General features: G+C 46.4%; 1 long non-coding RNA gene and 1 pseudogene across 1 annotated transcript; both read right to left on the bottom strand.

Moving 5' to 3' along the window:
- Window positions 1–7,401: 7,401 nt before the first annotated feature.
- LINC01039 (long intergenic non-protein coding RNA 1039) lies at window positions 7,402–16,285 on the bottom strand. Its single transcript, NR_126390.1, has 4 exons — window positions 16,006–16,285; window positions 14,758–14,927; window positions 13,032–13,228; window positions 7,402–10,693 (listed from the first exon to the last, which is right to left on the bottom strand). It is a non-coding gene; the product is annotated as a long intergenic non-protein coding RNA 1039 (long non-coding RNA).
- CFL1P8 (cofilin 1 pseudogene 8) lies at window positions 10,231–10,689 on the bottom strand (annotated as a pseudogene).
- Window positions 16,286–19,946: the final 3,661 nt, after the last annotated feature.

The following is a 19,946-nucleotide window of genomic DNA, read 5'->3' as shown; positions in this document are numbered from 1 at the left end:
CAGACTCAGATACCTCTAGATGTCTATACTGTCCTTCTACTCTGGGGATCCATTCGTGCCAGCTTCAGGAAGAAGGCGTTTACTGGCATCTAAACTCATGCTTTCTCATCTTTCTTCATTCTAATTTTCTGTCTAGTGAAACAATATTGCTAGCCATATGATTTCCAGCATTCAAACAAGGCCCCACATGGGGATTTTGTTACTAGTTTCCTTAGAGAAGTTTTACAGTTTCTCAGGAAAAAAGACCAAACCGTTAAACATCTATTTCTTCTGTTAAAAAAAAAATCCCATTTAGTATTATAAGTAATAATATGTTTATTATAGACAAATTGAACTTGCAAAAATAAGTAGGTATATAGGGAGAAAGCTAACACCTGCTATGGTTTGGATGCACCCTTCAAAACTCATAGTGAAATTTCATTGCCATTGTGATGGTATTAAGAGGTGGGACCATTAGGAGATGATTAGGTCATGAGGTCTCTGCCTTCAGGCACAGATTAATGCTATTATCACAGGAGTGGGTTTGTTATTGCAGGAGTAGACCCCTGATGAAAGGATGAAGTTCAGCTAGGCATGGTGGCTCACGCCTGTAATCCTAGCACTTTGGGAGGCCAAAGCGGGAGGATCATTTGAGCTCAGGAATTCGAGACCAGCCTGGGCAACATAGTGAGACCTTGTCTCTACAGAAATTTTTTAAAAAATTAGCCAGGCAGGATGGTACACGCTTAATAGTCCCAGCTAATCCGGGGGCTGAGGTGGGAGGATCACCTGAGCCTGGGAGGTCAAGGGGCAGTGAACCACTGACTCTGGACTGGGTGACAGAGTAAGTAAGACACCATCTCAAAAAAAAGATGAAGTTCAGCCCCCATTTCCTCTCAGTCTCACACACTCACTTGCCCTTCTGCCATGTTAGAATGCAGCACAAAGTCCCTCACCAGATGCCAGCACCATGTTCTTGGACTTCTCAGCCTCCAGAACTGTGAGGAATGCATTTATTTTCTTTATAAATTAATGTTTGTTTGTGCTATTCTGGTATAGCACTAGAAAATGGACTAAAACAACATCTGGGGCTGGGCGCAGTGGCTCACACCTGTAATCCCAGCATGTTGGGAGGCAGAGGCGTGTGGATCACCTAAGGTCAGGAGTTCAAGACCAGCCTGGCCAACATGTTGAAACCCTGTCTCTACTAAAAATACAAAAATTAGCCGGGTGGAGTGGCAGATGCCTGTAATCCCAGCTACTCAGGAGGCTGAGGCAGGAGAATTGCTTGAACCTGGGAGGCGGAGGCTGCAGTGAGTGATCATACCACTGCACTCCAGCCTAGGCGACAGAGCAAGACTCCATCTCAAACAAACAAACAAACAAACAAAACCAACACCTGAAGGTAACTTCATATTCTGCCTTCCTTATAGTCATGTCTTGTGTTCTTTTTTTTTTTTTTGAGACGGAGTCTCGCTCTGTCACCCAGGCTGCAGTGCAGTGGCATGATCTTGGCTCACTGCAAGCTCCGCCTCCTGGATTCACGCGATTCTCCTGCCTCAGCCTCCTGAGTAGCTGGGACTACAGGTGCCCGCCACCACGCCCGGCTAATTTTTTTTTTTTTTTTTTTAGTAGAGACAGGGTTTCACCGTGTTAGCCAGGATGGTCTCGATCTCCTGACCTCGTGATCTGCCCGCCTCGGCCTCCAAAGTGCTGGGATTACAGACTGCGCCCAGCCGTCTTGGGCATTTTTATTCTAGTGCATTTATATATCTCTAGGAAGATAGGTGATGGGTAGATAGATAAACACGCATATATAGTTCTTAGCAAAAGTAACATCACATATACATACTGTTTTGAAACTTGCTTTTCTCCCCTCAATAAATCACTGAAACATATATTTAGGTAATACTGTAAAACCCATACACATGAGAATATTCAGATGTTTGTGGGAAAGAAAAGAAACAAAATATATATGGAAAAATACTAAAAACCAATCTACAGAAAGTGCCTATGTAAGCTGGGAAAATAAGTTCAGAGGTTTATGAAGTTAGTTTCCTTTAATTCAAACTTTTTTGCTCTGGTAAACTTTGAAAAATATTTTCACAGCATATATTCTTTATAAGAATACAGCTGGGAAATTCTTCCACTGTCATGCAGTCTTAAGCTTAAAGTTTGCAAAATATAGTTTTTGCTTCTTCTTTTTCTTCTTCTTCTTTATAAAAAGGCTTTTAATTCAACTTATTGACCCCAGTATTTTTGCTACATCCATTGCTAGGATCAAATCATTATACTTTTCAAAAGCGTTCCTTTAACCTGAGGTCAAACGAATGTGAAATAGGAGGAAGTTATAAAAAGACTGAAATCTAGAACACCCATAACCCTGATGTACTTTATCCAAATTTTTATGACTTTGAAGTGCACTGAATACAGAAAGAATGCAGAGCTTTTATTTTCCAACCAGAGAAACCACACACAAAAAAAGAATAAAAAAGTATTTCTTTCTCATTTCTGTAGCCAACCTCTCAATCCAAAAAAAGGAAGTGGGGGAGGATCCAAGTCAAGCCAACAAAAATAAACTGTTGCCATTGTTTATAGAGAAAATAATTCCTAGAGATATTTTTCCCCAAAAAGCCAAAAAAAAAAAAAATCACAAAGAGACTCCCTGGCTCAGTTTATTTGCTAGAGGAGAAATTGTTTAACATTTGCTTATTTTGTAAAAACTACCAATAACAAGTGGGCCCAGAAAATCCCTCCCTCTTCCTCGTGTGGTGGGAAAGCAGAGACCAGGCGAAACTGGGCCTACTGTTGGAACATTGCTCACTGTCTGGAACTGCCCAATCCTGCCCGGCTTCTGTAAGATTCCCAAGATCCATGACAACCTGAAGTCCCCAAGGGAGGGGTTTGAGTTGGATGGATGTGGCGAGGCCAGACAATGGTCAGCCTTGACTTTCCCTGTGGTGGATTGGATTGAACGCTCCAATTCTTGCCTCTTGTCTGCCTCCACATCCTTGTCACGATCTCATTGTGGGAAGAATATACCTTTTTTGTCCCTTAACTTTGAGCTCTGCCAGTGACTGTGTGCCATCTCCAGCTGCAGCCTTGCCCTCTTGCCCTGCAGCCATCGCTGTGAGAAGAGCACATCCTAGCAGAACCCGTGATGGAGAGGAGGTTGCCCTGCAGTGAAACAGAGCTGCCCCAGCTGCCCAGCCTGCTGTGGAGCCTGCAGCCCAGCCCAGCCCAGGTCAGCGAAACTACAGCAGACTCACGAAGGCATCAGCAGTAGTAAATACCTATTGTGTTAAGCCCCTGAGTTCTGGAATGCTCCACATTGCTGCATTGTTTGGTAATACAAATGAATACATACTTTCAAGTAAATATAATAATATATTATTATTATTATTCTGAGATGGAGTCTCACTCTGTCACCCAGGCTGGAGTGCAGTGGCACCATCTCAGCTCACTGCAACCTCCACCTCCCAGGTTCAAGCGATCCTCCAGCCTCTGCCTCCCAAGTTGCTGGGATTACAAGCACATGCCACCGTAACTAGCTAATATGGGTATTTTTAGTAGAGACAGGGTTTCGCCATGTTGGCCAGGCTGGTCTCGAATTCCTGACCTCAAGTGATCCACCCGCTTTGGCCACCCAAAGTGCTGGGATTGCAGCAGTGAGCCACTGCACCTGGCCAGTTCTTTTAACACTTGTACTGTAGGGAGTTTAATATGTGGCTATGTATAGGATAGACTGAAGTAGGGAACAGATAGGATCATGATCCAGATGTCAGGTAATGAACCCACAAACAAGTGTGGAGATTGTGGATTTGGGAAAGAACGGGAAGAGGAAAGAGATAGACAAAAGGTTGGCTGCAAGAAAGAAGGAAAAGGCTAAATTTTCACACTTGGGAGAAGAAGGAAATGGTGATAACTTTTGGAGAATTTGAACTTTGGAGATGATTTTAGGAAAAATAATAAGTTTAGTTTGTGCCATCCCGGGTTTGAAGTGACAACAATTTAATCTAATGGTAGTGTGGTGTAGTGGAAAGGGCTGTAGTTTTCAAATAGACCTGGCTGCTGATTCTGGCTTGACATCTTACAGGGTGAGGGGCTTTTCTGAGTAACTTAAACTCTCTAAGCCTCAGTGTCTACCCCTGTATCAGCCCTCAGGATTGTGAGGACTGTGTAGGTGGGTAGTGAGGTAGGCATCGGTGGGCATTTGGTCTTCTTAGCATCTTTCCTGTTGAGAATGCCACTCTGCTGGTTGGTGGGTCTGTAATTTACATGACCAACTTCTGTGCCACCATGACGGATCCAGGCATGGGCACATGACCCAACCAGCCAATCAGAGTCCATTTTGGGGAGATGGATATGAATGTTTGGTGAGAAAGGGGTCTTTTCTTCTGCTATCAAGAGTAGTAAGATCACGGTAAGCCTGATAGTATTATCTTCTAGGCTGCTCTGGGGAGAGAGATTGCCTGAGAATGAAGCTCACACAGAGAAAATCAAAGATGAGAAATGGAGAAAGAGAGGAGAGGGAGACCCTTATTGATATTGTTTGAACTCTTTGATCAAATAGTGTCATTCATTGAACTTCCCAGCTGCCTGAACTAATATGTGTGTATTTTTTTAATTAAGGGCATTTTAATTTGGTTTTTGGCTCTTGAAACCAAGAGTCCTGACTCAGCAGGTATTCAAGTAATAGTACGGGAGGCCGAGGTAGGCGGATCACTTGAGCTCAGGAGTGTGAGACCAGCCTGGGAAATATGGCAAAACCCTGTCTCTATGGAAAAATACAAAAATTAGTTGGGCATGGTGGTGAATGCCTGGCGGCCCATCTGCTTGGGAGGCTGAGGTAGGAGGATCACCTAAGCCTAGGAAGGTTGAGGCTGCAGCGAGCCATGATCATGCCACTGCACTCCAACCTGGGCAGCAGAGTGAGACCCTGAAAAGAAAGAAAGAAAGAAGGAAGGAAGGAAGGAAGGAAAGAAAGAAAGAAAGGAAGGAAGGAAGGAAGGAAGGAAGGAAGGAAAGAAGGAAGGAAGAAAGAAAGAAAGAAAAGCTAAACAACATTCAGTGGGGAATGGCCCACTTACAACTTGCCTGAATTCATATTCCCTTCTTCCTGCAAATGACTTACAGCCAAATATCAGCCAAAAAGGTATGAAGAAGTCTGCATCATTGAAATAGATGTGGACTCATGGGCCTTTTAAAGGAGACATGAAGAGGTTCACACTGTGAGATATGAAGACACACTACAAAGCCATAATAATGATAATAAAATGTGCTGTTGGCAGAGAAACCAGTAAGTAAACCAGTGGAGCAGGGTAAAAAGCTCAAAAGCAAATCTGTTGACTTATGAGAGGCAACAGCACAAACCCGTGTGGGAAGGACAGGTTATTCACTAGATGGTGCTGGGAAAACTGGTTCACTCTATGGAGAAAAAGAAACACCGTATGCAAAGGTCAGCTTTGGATAATCCAAAATCTAATTGTGAAGGTAAAATATAAAACCAATAGGAAAAAAGATGCCCAATAATTTTGTCATCTTGAGGTTGAGAAGGACTTCTGACATCAACTCAGAAGGCACAAGCTATGAGGCAAAAAATTGAGGAATTTGAGTCCATCAAAATTACATTGTTCTGCTCAACAAAGGACACCATAGACAGAGTGGGGGAAGATAACCGTAATGTCAGAATCCAGCAAGAACTTCTAGTGAGACAGATTTGTCGAGAACAGCGAACCATGGCCTACCGGCCAAGGCTGGCCCCTCCACCTATTTTTATAAGCAAAACAAAAGTTTGGTTGGACAGAGCCATGCTCATTCATCATATACTGTCTCTGCTCTTGAGCTGAAATAGCAGAGCTGAGTTGGTGCAGCAGAGAACTTCTGGTCTGCAAAGCCTAAAAAAATATCTACTACCTGGACCCCTTACAGATAATTTTATCAATACCTCATCTAGAATATACAAGGAAATCATCTAGAAAACAAAGAAATTGTCTGGACCCCAGTAGAAAAATGGGGCAAAAATATGAAGAAATGCTCAACCTCACTATTAGAGAAATGCAAATTATAGAAAACAATGAGCTGCCACTTTACACCCACGACACAGGAAAAATTAGAAAGTCAGATGATAGCAATTGTTGACAAGGAGGTAGGAAAATGGATATTATTATGCACTACAGATGGGAGTGCAGACTGTGTAGTCTTCTGGGGAACAGCCTAGCAGATCTCAGTGAAATTCATCTGTGTACGCCCCATGACCCAGCCGTCCCGGGGTGTAACGCTGAGAAACGAATAGCCAGGTCTGCAGCAGAATGTGTACAGGGATGTGCATCCTGGCCGTTTGTGGTAGCTGGGCCCTTAGAGTCAGCCTCGTAAGGTGAAGTGGAGGAGAGGAGAAATAAACTGTCACTGGTGCTTCCTTGGGGAGGGCTAAGGCAATGAACAAGAGGCACATACAGCCACATGGCTAGATATTAAAAACATACTGCGGATGAGAAAAGACAGACACAGAATGAGACCCAGAGCCCAACACTGTGTATATGTAAATGTGTGTATGCTACATACACAAAACAATGCTAGGTCTTTTTCGGAATTCTGTACATGTCCAAGTGCATACACCGAACACATTACAGGAGATGGGGTAGTAGAGTAGAAGTGGGAGGGGGTTTTGGAAACTAAGAAACAATTAAAATAAGAGAAGGGCCTTCCACATACAGACGATAAGAGTGGAACGAACTTAATTCTGTGAATCCGAGGTCCAAACATTTGGCTGTGAACTAGAGGATCTTCAGAAAAAGCAGCAGCTTCCAGTCTGTAATAAGACTTGGGTGGGCCGGGCGCAGTGGCTCACGCCTGTAATCCCAGCACTTTGGGAGGCCAAGGTGGGCGGATCACCTGAGGTCAGGAGTTCAAGACCAGCCTGACCAACATGGAGAAATCCTGTCTCTACTAAAAATACAAAAAAAAAAAAAAGAAAAAAAAGAAATTTAGCCAGGCATGGTGGTCAGGAGTTCGAGACCAGCCTGACCAACTTGGAGAAACCCCGTCTCTGCTAAAAATAAAATAAAAAATAAAATAAAAAAATTAGCCAGGCATGGTGGTCAGGAGTTTGAGACCAGCCTGACCAACATGGAGAAACCCCGTCTCTACTAAAAATACAAAAAAAAAAATTAGCCAGGCATGGTGGCGCATGTCTGTAATCCCAGCTACTCGGGAGGCTGAGGCGGGAGAATTGCTTGAACCTGGGAGGCGGAGGTTGCGGTGAGCCGAGATCACACCATTGCACTCCAGCCTGGGCAACAAGAGCAAAACTCCGTCTCAAAAAAAAAAAAAAAAAAGGCTTGGGTGAACAGACAGGGCTAGAGATGAAGAGTTGAGAGTTCTCCGTAGAGTGTTGTCAGTGGAACTCTGCCATGCGTGCGCTTTTTCTTTTTTTTTTTTAATCTGCAAATCTTCTAGTTTATAAAAGAACAAATGACAGTTAGTGTGACAGCAGCTGACTGGGAATTAAGAAAACCTGACTTGAAATCAAGTATAATTGTCCCAGGGAATGGAGGAGCTAAGACTAAACCCGCATTCCTGAGGAGGTTGTTGGGCCAGACTAAATTTTTATCCTGGCTTGCCTAACTTCCTCCCCTGACCAAAGCCAGTCTGAATTTGGCATTGACTTTGGAAGTAGCAAATTTAGAAGTTTCAGTAGATCAGGGCAGGAAAGTGACCTAATTTATGTACAAATAAAAATAGGAATAATGAAGCAAAAATATAGGCTGTGTGGGGAGGTTGTCATATATCTGAAAATTAAAACATGTGATTCAAAATGTGGGAGATTTCTCAAAGAACTGAAAACACAACTACCATTCGATGCAGCAATCCCGTTACTGGGTATGTACCCAAAGGAAAACAAATCATTCTACCAAAAAAACATGCACTCATATGTACATCGCAGCACCAGTCACAACAGCAAGGACGTGAAACCAACCTAGGTGCCCATCAAGGCAGGTGGATTGCCTGAGCTCGGGAGACCAACCTGGGCAACACGGTGAAACCCCGTCTATATTAAAATACAAAAGAAATTAGCTGGGTGTGGTGACATGTGCCTGTAATGCCAGCTACTTGGGAGGATGAGGCAGGAGAATTGCTTGAACCCGGGAGGCAGAGGTTGCAGTGCGCCGAGATAGCATCACTGCACTCGAGCCTGGGTGACAGAGCAAGACTCCGTCTCAAAAAAAAAATATATATATATATGTGTATATATATATATGTATGTATATATACACACATACATATATATATATGAAATCATGTCCTTTCCAGCAACATGGAGGCTTTGGGCTACAAATGATCCCATTACCCAGGTAAAGAGCATAGTAACAAACAGGTAGTTTTTCAGCCCTTGGTCTCCTCCCTCTCTCCCCACTCTAGTAGTTCCCGGGGTCTGTTGTTTCTATCTTTGTGTCCATGTGTATCCAATGTTTAGCTCCCACTTATGGGTGAGAGCATGTGGTGTTTGGTTTTCTGTTCCTGCATTAATTGGCTTAAGATAATGGCCTCCATGCATGCACTTTCACAGGTCATGTATCTAGTTGGACTGGCTCTTCCACTGTGGAGTGTCCCATTTGAACCAGTTACTGATGTATGGCCTCCAAGCTCCAGATCAACCCTTCCTGGCCCTGCTGGTGACATCAGAGATGGACTCTGTAAATGTTCCTCCCTTGCCACCTGCCACGATGTTACGTTTTGTCAGTAGCCAGCCACTGAGGGACATTGCAAGTGGCAGAGGCTTTCTTCCTGGTCCCAGTGTTTTTCCTCTTGCTCCTGCAATACTGCAGCTGGTGGGGCCAGTGGGAGACCCAGAGATGTGAACCCTCCTGGAAGGTTCACTGTCACCCCAACAGGAGGCTTCCTGGAAAGTTTCCCCAGCACCCAGCAGGTGGTTTTCTGCTTGCCAGCCATGGTCTGCAGCACCTCAGCAAACTCTTATCCCATCCAGTGGCCACATCTTTCATCAACGATGTGCATCTCAGCCTTGGAGGGGAGGCTTCGTCCAAGCTTGTCTTCCTTGAATATTTTGCCTCGGCCCTAGAGGTAGTGTTTTTTCTCTACATCTGCTATTCCTATAATCTGTCTTGTTTTGTTTTCTAATTGAAGTCCCTTACTGGTCCTGCTTCTACGAGTGGCGGTGACCAGGTGAAAAGGGAGAGGAATCAGCCGGCCCAGGGAGGGTCACCTCTACCACATTCCACTCACACACAGAATGGAACACACAAGCACAGAGTCAACAGTTATTGTGATTAGAAGTTGGTAGCATGGGGTGGCCAGGTGCAGTGGCTCATGCCTGTAATCCCAGTACTTTAGGAGGCTGAGGTGGGTGGATCACCTGAGGCCGAGATAAGCCTGACCAACATGGAGAAACCCCGTCTCTACTAAAAATACGAAATTAGTGGGGCATGGTGGCGAATGCCTGTAATCTCAGCTACTCGGGAGGCTGAGGCGGGAGAATCACTTGAACCGGGAGGCAGAGGTTGCAGTGAGCCAAGATCACGCCATTGCACTCCAGCCCGGGCAACAAGAGCAAAACTTTGTCTCAAAAAAAAAAAAAAAAAATGGGTGTTGTTAAAAAAAAATGTAGGCTAGGCTGGGTGCAGTGACTCATGCTTGTAATCCCAGAACTTTGGGAGGCTGAGGCGAGTGGATCATTTGAGGTCAGGAGCTCAAGGCCAGCCTGGTCAACATGGTGGAACCCCATCTCTACCAAAAATACAAAAAAATTAGTCGGGCAGTTGTGGTGGATGCCTGTAATCCCAGCTACTAGGGAGGCTGAGGCAGGACAATCACTTGAGCCTGGGAGGCGGAGGTTGTGGTGAGCCGAGATCATGCCGCTGCACTCCAGTCTGGGCGACAGAGTGAGACCCTGTCTCAAAAAACAAACAAACAAACAAACAAAAAACAAAATACAGGCTCCTCCCAAACTAGGGTGCGTGAGGGGAACTTTGTCTGTTTCAATCCAAGAGGAATTAGAAGGTCAAAAGTGGCCTGGGAAAGCCAGAACCATCAGGGATGGAGGGAGGAGGAAGGCCTGGGGGTGAGGGCTGCTTGGTAACTGGGGTGAGGGGATTATCTTCCCCTTGCTGGGATCCCCCAAACCCCTCTGGTCTTGGAGGAAGGGGACAGACAACTCTCTGCAGATAGGTCAGGAGCTGCCAGATGTTCCAGGCAGGGGGCTGGAGGGGGTTCACAAAGGCATGCCCTCCAGGAGATGATGGCGCTGCCTCCAAGCTTCTCTGCCAGGATGCTATGGCCCTTGACCTCCTTGTGATTCATGCTTGATCTCCATCAGCTTCCCCTTGATGACATCCTTGGAGCTGGCATAGGTCACTTAGCTCTTAGAGGGTACAGACTCAGGGTCCCAGAAGATAAACTCCAGATCTTCCTTCTTGCTGTTCTTGGTCTCAGGCTGTGTCATAGAGGGTGGAGGAGCAGTCCTTGTCTGGCAGCATCTTGACTAAGGTGGCATAGGGCCATCAACAGTCTGGCCTGCACCACCTACGAGGATCTCCTTGCCCCTTCCAGGGTGACATTCTTCTTGGCCTCATTATGTCAGAAGAGCACTACCTTCTTGCACTGTTTCACCTCCTCTGATGTCACCAACTCGTGTGCCTTCATGTCATTAGACATCTTGATGTTGCCATCAGAGATAGCCACACTGGCCATGTTTCTGGAAGTGAAAGGAAGATGTCAAAGAGGGCCAGAGAAGATAAGAGCTGTTGCAGCTGCTGCTGGAATCCTCTATTTTGGGGTGTGTGTGTGTGTGTGTGTGTTTAAGACAAGGTCTTGCTCTGTCACCCAGGCTGGAGTGCAGTAGCACAATCACAGCTCACTGCAGCTTTAAGTTCCCAGGCTCAAGCGATGCTCCCACCTTACCCTCCTGAGTAGCTGGGACTACGGGCGTGCACCACCATGACTGCCTAAATTTTTAATTTTTTGTAGAGACAGTGTCTCCCTATGTTTCCCAGATTGGTCTCAAACTCCTGGGCTCAAGCGATCTGTCCACCCCGGCCTCCCAAATTGGTGGGATTACAGGCATGAGCCACCATGCCTGATCTATTGCTGTATTTGTTAGGGTTCTCTTTACTCCTTTTACACACACACACCGAAACAGGATTCCAGCAGCAGGTGCAACAGCTCTTATCTTCTCTGGCCCTCTTCAACATCTCCCTTTCACTTCCAGAAACATGGCCTTCAGTGTGGCTATCTCTGATGGCGACATCAAGGTGTCCAATGACATGAAGGCACACTAGTTGGTGATGGTTAATTTTATGTGTCAACTTAACCGAGCCACAGGATGTCCAGATATTTTATCACATATTTTTCCGGTGTGTCTGTGGGGGCGTTTCTGGAGGAGATGCACCTTTGAATTGGTGGACTGAGCAAAGCAGACCACACTTCCCAATGTGGATGGGCCTCACCCAATCCATTGGAGCCCCGGATAGAACAAAAAGGTTGACCCTGGCCCAAGTAAGTGGGAATTCTTCCTGCCTTTGGACTCAGACTGAAACATTGGCTCTTCCTGGTTCTTGAGACTGCCAGCCTTTGGACTGGCACTACACCATCACCCTTCCTGGGCCACCAGATTGGGACTTGCCAGTCTCCATACTCTCGTGAGCCAATTCCTTATAATAAATCTCTTTCTGTATCTACATATAACACTAGTATTGTAATATGTGTCTATATGTTATATATCTATATATACAGATACCGCTTAATAGATACATAGATGATATATATAATGGATAGATATATCCTATTGGTTCTGTTTCTCTGGATAACCCGAATATGGTAGTTAATTCCCTTTTTACTAATTTAAGAACTCTTTACATTAAATGCTCCCTGTTCGCATTACTGGTGTGCTTTCTGTCTCCTGACTGGGCCCTGGCTGCTACACCATCCTTACAGTAAAACAACAAACAACAACACAAAACAAACCTTTCCTGTCTTTCTTACCCTTCACAGCTGACATTCACTCTCCTTTGCCTCATCTTCTCAATTCATCACAATCTGACTCTCCCAATTGAAATAGACATTTCATTGATAAATTCCTAATTGCCCAAAGAGGCACCTGACAGGACTTTCCTCTCTTAATCACCTCCTTCTGAAAACATTCTTCTCCCTGATTTCCTCATTGTGTTTCAGACCATTTCTTTTGAGGCCAATATGGTTCATATACAGTAGGAAGAGTAAAAAGCTATTAGAGATTAGACAAAGCTATTGAAGTTGGACAAAGCTATTGAAATCCCAGCTCTGCCCTTTACAAGTGATATGACCTTGATCTCTGTGAGCTTGGTCGGCCTTCTCATTTGCAAATTTGGGATAACAACAATAGGTAGCTTGCAGTGTTGTTTGAAGAACAAATAGGCTGGGTGTGGTAGCTCATGCCTGTGATCCCAGCACTTTGGGAGGCCAAGCCGGAAGGATTGCTTGATACCAGGGGTTTGAGACCAGCCTGGACAACATAGCAAGACCCCATCTCTACAAAAAATAGAAAACCTTAGCTGGGTGTGGTGGTACAGCCTGTAGTTCCAGCTACTCGGGAACTGAGGTGGGAGGATCACTCGAGCCCAGGAGGTCGAGGCTGCAGTGAGCATTCATTGCACCACTGCACTCCAGCTTGGGTGAGAGTGAGACCCTGTCTCAAACATAAATAAATAAATAAATAAATAAATAAATAAATAAATAATTAATTTATGTAAAGCACCAAGACATACAGCCTGGCACATCGTAGGTGCTCAATAAAGGTTAGTTGCTCTATTCTCCTAATGACCTTCATCTACCCCGTGGGTTAAGCTGGTGATACTAGGGGCTCCACTTTTCCACTGTCTCAACTCACTTTCTCTGAGCAATGTTACCACACTTGAGGCATTATGTACCACCACTTATTCAAAGTTGTAACTTCTTTCCAGACCTCTCTTCTCACCCAGATTGGGGGCCGATGTTGCCTGAGCCCCTATCACACCCAGAAACCCCTGTGAACCACACAACTGTCAGGAGCCTCTTGCCTGTGTCTTCAAGGGTCTTGGCCACAGCTGATTGGACCAGGGGCTGGTGCTGATCTTAGACTGGTCACGGTGCAAAGTCCCCACCCAAACGCGAGAGCTCTGTACGGACACAGGATGTAGAAAGACCCAATTAGAGCCTCTCTGTGTGCTCTTTGAATGTGAGATGGAGAGGAGGAACTTGGTATTGGCAGCCAGAACTGAAAGAAAAAAAGAAAATCCAGGACATAGCTTCCTCGTGGCAACCAAACCTAGGGGTAAGCAGCAACATTGAGGAGAAGCAGAAATAGTCACATTAGAAGCTGAGACACGCATGTGCAGGGGTTCCTAGAGCCAGTGGCAAAGGATGCCTGATACTGTGCCGGAGCTGCTGGGAGTCACTGCTCGTCATGGAGGGCACCCTGAGGCCCCATGGAGCCAAGGCGTTGGGACAATTTCCTGTCTCTTACTTTTCATTGCTTCGTTTCCCTCTTTCACAGAAATACATATATATTCACTCCCCCACCCCCAATTGTAATTAAAAGATGCTCATAGCCGTCATTTCGCTACAATACATGCTGTCATCTGAAAAAGCTTTCTTTGCTCCTTGGAGCTTAACCAACACAACTTCAGAGCTGCAGACCCACCTAGACATCCACCATAGTGACTATAAGATATCCTTTTCTAGAGTCTGCTGAATGAATACATGGATGAATGAATGAATGAATGCATGTATACACACATACAAACAGGGGGATAAAGGAGGAATGAGCCAGACGGGACATAATGAAAAAGCAGGGAAGAATTAAGACAGTGCAGAGCCGCGGGCAGCAGTGATTGAAGCTTTGATGCTCAAGCATCCGTGGGCTCCTCGTTTCTGTAGTGCAGAGTAAACACAGAAGTAAAACAGGGTGTGAGTGGGCATCAGAATCACCCCATGGCTTCTCAAAACCCAGATTGTTGTCCCCACCTACAGAGCGAATTCAGGTCTGGGGAGGGCCTGAGACTTTGAGTTTCTAACCAGTTCTCAGGTGATGCCTGGGGACCCACAGAGTCAGCAGAATTCCGAGAAGTGAACGTCTACAAAAGCCAAAGAGCTCAGAGGTGCGGCAGAGGTTCCCTCAGAGGTTGAGGGAACTTCTGTGTTGTTGGTCCAGATAGTGATTTGCAGAGGACAGCAGATTTTGCAGCTTCCTGCCCCCTGAAAAAATACAAAATAAGGATTCCTGTCTCATTGTTAAATTTTGCAGGCAGGGAGGGCGAGTTGTCTTCATTCAAGCTCTTGTCACACTGTCCCCAGAACCTGGCCCCGACTAGGAGAACGGCCTGCCTTGGTTAAGGGGTCATTCAGCATTCAGTGTTGTCTCACTCAGAATCCTGCACTTCCAGCTAAAATCCAGCTCAGGTCAAAGGCACTCAGTGCAGTAAAGGCATCTGTGCTCAGAATCCAAATATCAATAGAACAGAAACTAAAAATAATCAAAACCACTGAAAGGAGGTTAAGAGTCCTGTCCTGAAAACAGCTATTATTTGCCCATCCTCTAGGTTACGGTCAAATTAGGACTCAGGAAGCGAAGGCTCTAGAGCTCCCTCAGATGGTTATTTTTATTTCAATTCCATCCCCATGTCAGAGTGTATTTCATTACTTACTAGACTTGGGACATTATTGGTTGCCTGCTGTATGAGTTTCCGAGGGCTGCTGTACAAAATACTGGCACCGTATGGCTTAACAACAGATTGATTCACTCACAGTTCTGGGGTCAAGGTCCTGAGATCAAGGGCCATGCTCCCTGTGAAATCAGCAGGGAAAGATCCTTCTCTCTTCTTCCAGCCTCTCTTGGTTTGCTGGCAATCCTTGGCCTGCTTCGGCTTGCAGCTGCATGGCTCTGATCTCTGTCTTAGCTGTTATATGGCATTCTCCTATTTTTATAGGGACACCAGTCATCTTGAATTAGGAATCTGTTCCACTCCAGTATGACCTCATCTTAGCTAATTACAGCTACAAAGACCCTATTTCCAAATGATGTCATGTTCAGAGGTACTGGGAGGTTAGGACTTCAACATATCTTTTTTTGGAGGGGACACAATTAACATCGACCCTAGACCTTTACCTTTTTCTCTAGTAAATCCCAGATTTTTCCAAAAGCATACTAACTGATAGGCCTACAGATAAAAATACCCAAGCAGAGACCGGGACGACCCTGCCAATGTGGTAATGGCTCGTCCCAACAAGTTATTCCTTGTGCATAATAGTTCTTGGGCTCAGCCACAGAATGTGCTCTTTCTATGTATTTACAAGATTACAAGATCTTGCTCTGTCACCCAGGCTGGAGTGCAGTGATGCAATCATAGCTCACTGCAGCCTCTAACTCCTGGGCTCAAGCAATCTTCTTACCCCAGGTTTCAGAGCAGCTGGGACTACAGGTGCGCACCACCATGTCCAGCTAATTATTTTATTTTTTGTAGAGACAGGGTCTTGCTATATTGCCCAGACTGGTCTCAAACTCTCAGCCTCAAGTGATCCTCCCACCTTAGCCTCTCAAAGTGCTGGGATTACAGGCATGAGTGACTGTGCCCAGCCTCTATTATTTCTTATAACTGCATATAAACCTAAAATTGTCTGTTAAAAAAAGAAAAAAGAAAAAAAGAAAAAGAAATGACTTGCTGGGGTTGGGTTGGTAGGGAGGAGAGCTGGGTCCTGGTCTCCTTTAGAGTAATGTGCTTTGATTATGTAACAATTGTGGAGTTCTGGGTCCTTCTGCACCTGGATCTTTCTCTGGGGAATGGGAAGGCGAGAAAGATAAGGCAGGGAGAAAGTGGGGATGTTGCATTTACTCCCCAGACCACCCTATGTTTCTATGTGTACAGGACAACGAGCTGGGCCATCCTTCCCTAGGAGAATAACTGGTCACCTGAGCCCAGCAGCAACACCTCAGAACCTTCCAGAAAGCCCAAGAAATTACAAAGTCATGCTGCCAGTGGGCCCACAGGTCAGCACCGTGTTGCCAGCAGGATGTCCTCTCCTCAGCCACACAGAGACTTGGATCTGCTGCTTCTGAACACAGGCTCCCACCCAGGGGAGATGTCTGTAGGTCTTCCTTCAGCCATGTTCCCCCAGGGAGGCTTGGCCTGGCTCAGACTCTCCTTGCGCTCCAGCCCCCGAGGAGTTTCTAAAACCTGCCTTTGCCAAGGGGCCCATCAAATTCTGTTTAGAGGCAGGAGGGTTTGTGTGCCAGCAGGACGGTTGCTATATTGCCCAGGCTGGTCTCAAACCGCCCACAGAGAGTTCTGGAATGTCCCCCATGGCATCCCATCCACTGGGAACCTTTGCCCTTAGGGGCTTCTGGGGCATTCACAGACAATAGTACTGTTGGCTTCCTGTTCCACCCAGTGCAGACCAGAAAACAAGTCATAGGAACTGAGGGCCTTGCCTTGAGCTCTGCCCGCTTCAATCAAGAGGCCACTTGGCTTTTTCAGCTGGGCGCGGTGGCTCACGCCTGTAATTTTAGCACTTTGGGAGGCCGAGGCAGGCGGATCACCTGAGGTCAGGAGATCAAGACCAGCCTGGCCAAGATGATGAAACCCCGTCTCTACTAAAAATACAAAAAAAATTAGCCGGGTGTGGTGATGGGTGCCTGTAATCCCAGCTAACTCAGGCAGCTGAGGCAGGAGAATCGCTTGAACCCGGGAGGCAGAGGTTGCAGTGAGCGGAGATCAGGCCACTCCACTCCAGCCTGGGCAACAGAGCGAGAGTCCGAAGAAAAAAAAAGAGGCCACTTGGCTTTTTCAGAGAGCAAGAGGCACGATGGCAGGGAGTCAGGCAGATGACTTCATAAAGGAGACCAGTTCACTGCCCTCCGTTGGCCTCCCCACACTTTGTCTTAGGTCACCCTTCAACTGCTGCGTCCTCTCCTGTGTTTGATTGGTGTTTTCAAACGCTCAGCAGCAAACCAGTGGAGGTGGGCTTCTCAACCAGCAGCTCCCAGTCTATGAGGTCAACCTCCAAACTGATTTCCACAGTAAAACCATCCTTTCCTCTGATTGGAAGGGATTTAGGCTCCCCCTCCCCCAATCAGCAACTTGCACCCTCAAAATGAACTACTCCTGCTGAGCTGCCTGGGAGCAAGATTAGGGGGAGACACTCTCCTCTCTGCCAGTGAGTCACGCCCTCTAACAATTTCTGTCCTGCCCATATGGTCCCATTATGATTGGGGAAAATAAAGAAAAATATGTTACTCTTTATAATGTATAGAAAATCTAAATATTATAGCAAATCTGGTAAAATCAACATAAATATTGCCAATGCCAAACCACTGTGTCTGTGTGACTAGAAAATGATGAAGGTCACAGGTAGTCCAGGCTTATTGTAAGTGGCATCTCTACCCAATTCCCTTTCCACCGCTTGTTCCTTGCCCACAGAACTTCACATATATTTATTCACATGTCACTATAGCAACCTAAAGATGAAATATCTGAATGTAAATGTAAGAAGGGATAAAAGCAGATTTCACAGATTCTTCAGCGCTTTGAAAATAGGCTGCATCTCCTTCCGTTTCTATGTGACCGTAATAACCTGGACCAGGATTGCCCAGGAAAACAGGGCGAGGCAACCCCTGGGCGCTGGGGTGCCAGGTTGGGCCCCTCCCCAGAGCAGCCTCCACCAATGCCGCCCTTGAGCCAGCATGAGGAGGCGCCTTTGCCTCCCGGGGCCATCCTGGGGACACAGGAGGATGTTGTAGGGGCATTGCTGGAACCTGGAGCCTGCATGGGATGCACCTGAGGCGCGGATGCGCTCGGCCCCGCCCTACCTGAGCACAGGTTGGGGAGATTCCTAACCCTATCCCTAACCCCAACCCAACAAAAGGGCGTTGACTTCAAACCAGCCCAGGCTGGCTGCGCCAGAGCCAGCCAATGAGACATCGCCCTGCTTCCCGGTGAGTGGAGGACACAGCCCCCTCCAGGGAGCTACATTGAGTGTGCTGAGAAGGACCTGTCCTCCCCACCTGTCCACACTCATTTTCTGATTTTTTGTTTTTAATATAAAAAGAAGCTTCTCGTTCCACTGTTACTCACATGGTTTAAAAAACTGCCCTGATTGATAGAGTTTGAAAAGAAAAAAAAAATTCACACTGGGGTGGAAATAAACCACAGGGTGACTGACTTCTCCCGAAACGATGTTTTTCAGATGAGACTGGGGGCTGGGGGAGGAAGCTCCAGGACAGCGTCCCTCTCGGGAGCAGAACCGGAAGGCCCGCGTGCATACAGACGGGCACCTGTACGTCACAGCCAGACACGTGTTTTGTTTTGTTTTTTTAGACGGAGTTTCGCTCTTCTTGCCCAGGCTGGAGTGCAATGGCACGATCTCGGCTCACTGCAACCTCTGCCTCCCGGGTTCAAGCAATTCTCCTGCCTCAGTCTCCTGAGTAGCTGGGATTACAGGCATGTACCACCACGCCTGTCTAATTGTGTATTTTTAGTAGAGACAGGGTTTCTCCATGTTGGTCAGGCTGGTCTCAAACTCCCGACCTCAGGTGATCCGCCCGCCTCGGCCTCCCAAACTGCTGGGACTACAGGCGTGAGCCACTGCGCCTGGCCTCCCGGGTTGTTTTTACATTGCTTTTCAGAGATCATTAATAAGGGGCCCACATTTCTGGGTAGCAATGGGCGAAATTAGATGATGCTTTGATTAGTTGGGCTCTGACAACGCATTTATTAGAGACATTGTCATTATGTACTGACTGGGTGGTTGAGATACGGAGCAATGGTTTCCTCTTCACATTTCTGTATACACTCATTTCTTTCCCCCAGCAGGTCCTAAGAGGTGGCTTATGCTGCTGTACATGTTTAATAAGTATCACAGAGGCGTCATGCAGTAACACTGTCTGCAATGCTTTGTATTAATGTGCTGAACATCCTTTACATGATAAGAACACAATATCCACTGCTGCCTCTAAAAAACCCACACACCAGGCTGGGCACGGTGGCTCACACCTGTAATCCCCAGCACTTTGGGAGGCCGAGGCAGGAGGATCACTTGAGGCCAGGATTTCAAAACCAGCCTGGGCAACATAGTGAGACTCAGTCTCTATTAAAAAAAAAAAAAAAATAGCCAGGTGTGGTGGTACAGGCCTGTAGTCCCAGCTACTCGGGAGGCTGAGGTGGGCAGATTGCTTGAGTCCAGGAGTTCAAGACTAGCCTGGACAACATAGGGAGATCCCATCTCTACAGAAAATTTTAAAAATTAGCCAGGTGTGGTGGTGCAAGCCCGTAGTCCCAGCTACTCAGGAGGCTCAGGCAGGAGGATCACTTGTTCCTGGGAGGTTGAAGCTGCAGTGAGCTGTGATGGCACCACTGCACTCCAGCCTGGGTGACAGAGTGAGACCGTGTCTCAAAAAACAACAACAAAAAACAAGCCCCCACACCGGTTTTGAAACTAAATATCATTAATACTGTCATTAAATAGGAATCCAAATAAGAGAGTTTCAAGGACCTAAGTTAAAAATGAAGGTTCAGCTGGGCACAGTGGCTCATGCCTGTAATCTCAGCACTTTGGGAGGCCGAGATGGGCGGATCACCTGAGGTCGGGAGTTTGAGACCAGCCTGACCAACAGGGAGACACCCCATCTCTACTAAAAATACAAAATTAGCTGGGCGTGTTGGTGCATGCCTGTAATGCCAGCTACTCGGGAGGCTGAGGCAGGAGAATCGCTTGAACCCGGGAGGTGGAGGTCGCGGTGAGCTGAGATCACGCCATTGCACTCCAGCCTGGGCAACAAGAGTGAAACTCCATCTCAAAAAAAAAAAAAAAAAAAAAAAATGAAGGTTCAACTTCTGGAAAGATACCTAGGGGATGGTTAACAGTGGCTGTCTCCAGGAGAGAGGCCTCGGTGCTTGGGACATGACTAGAGTCTTAGTTTTTTCTTTATTCTTTTGTGCATT

The sequence above is a fragment of the Homo sapiens genome, chromosome 13 (assembly GCF_000001405.40).
Source record: "Homo sapiens chromosome 13, GRCh38.p14 Primary Assembly".
Lineage (NCBI taxonomy): Eukaryota > Metazoa > Chordata > Mammalia > Primates > Hominidae > Homo > Homo sapiens.
Note: the sequence above shows the minus strand (reverse complement) of the source record. Positions and strands in the feature narration are given on the sequence as shown.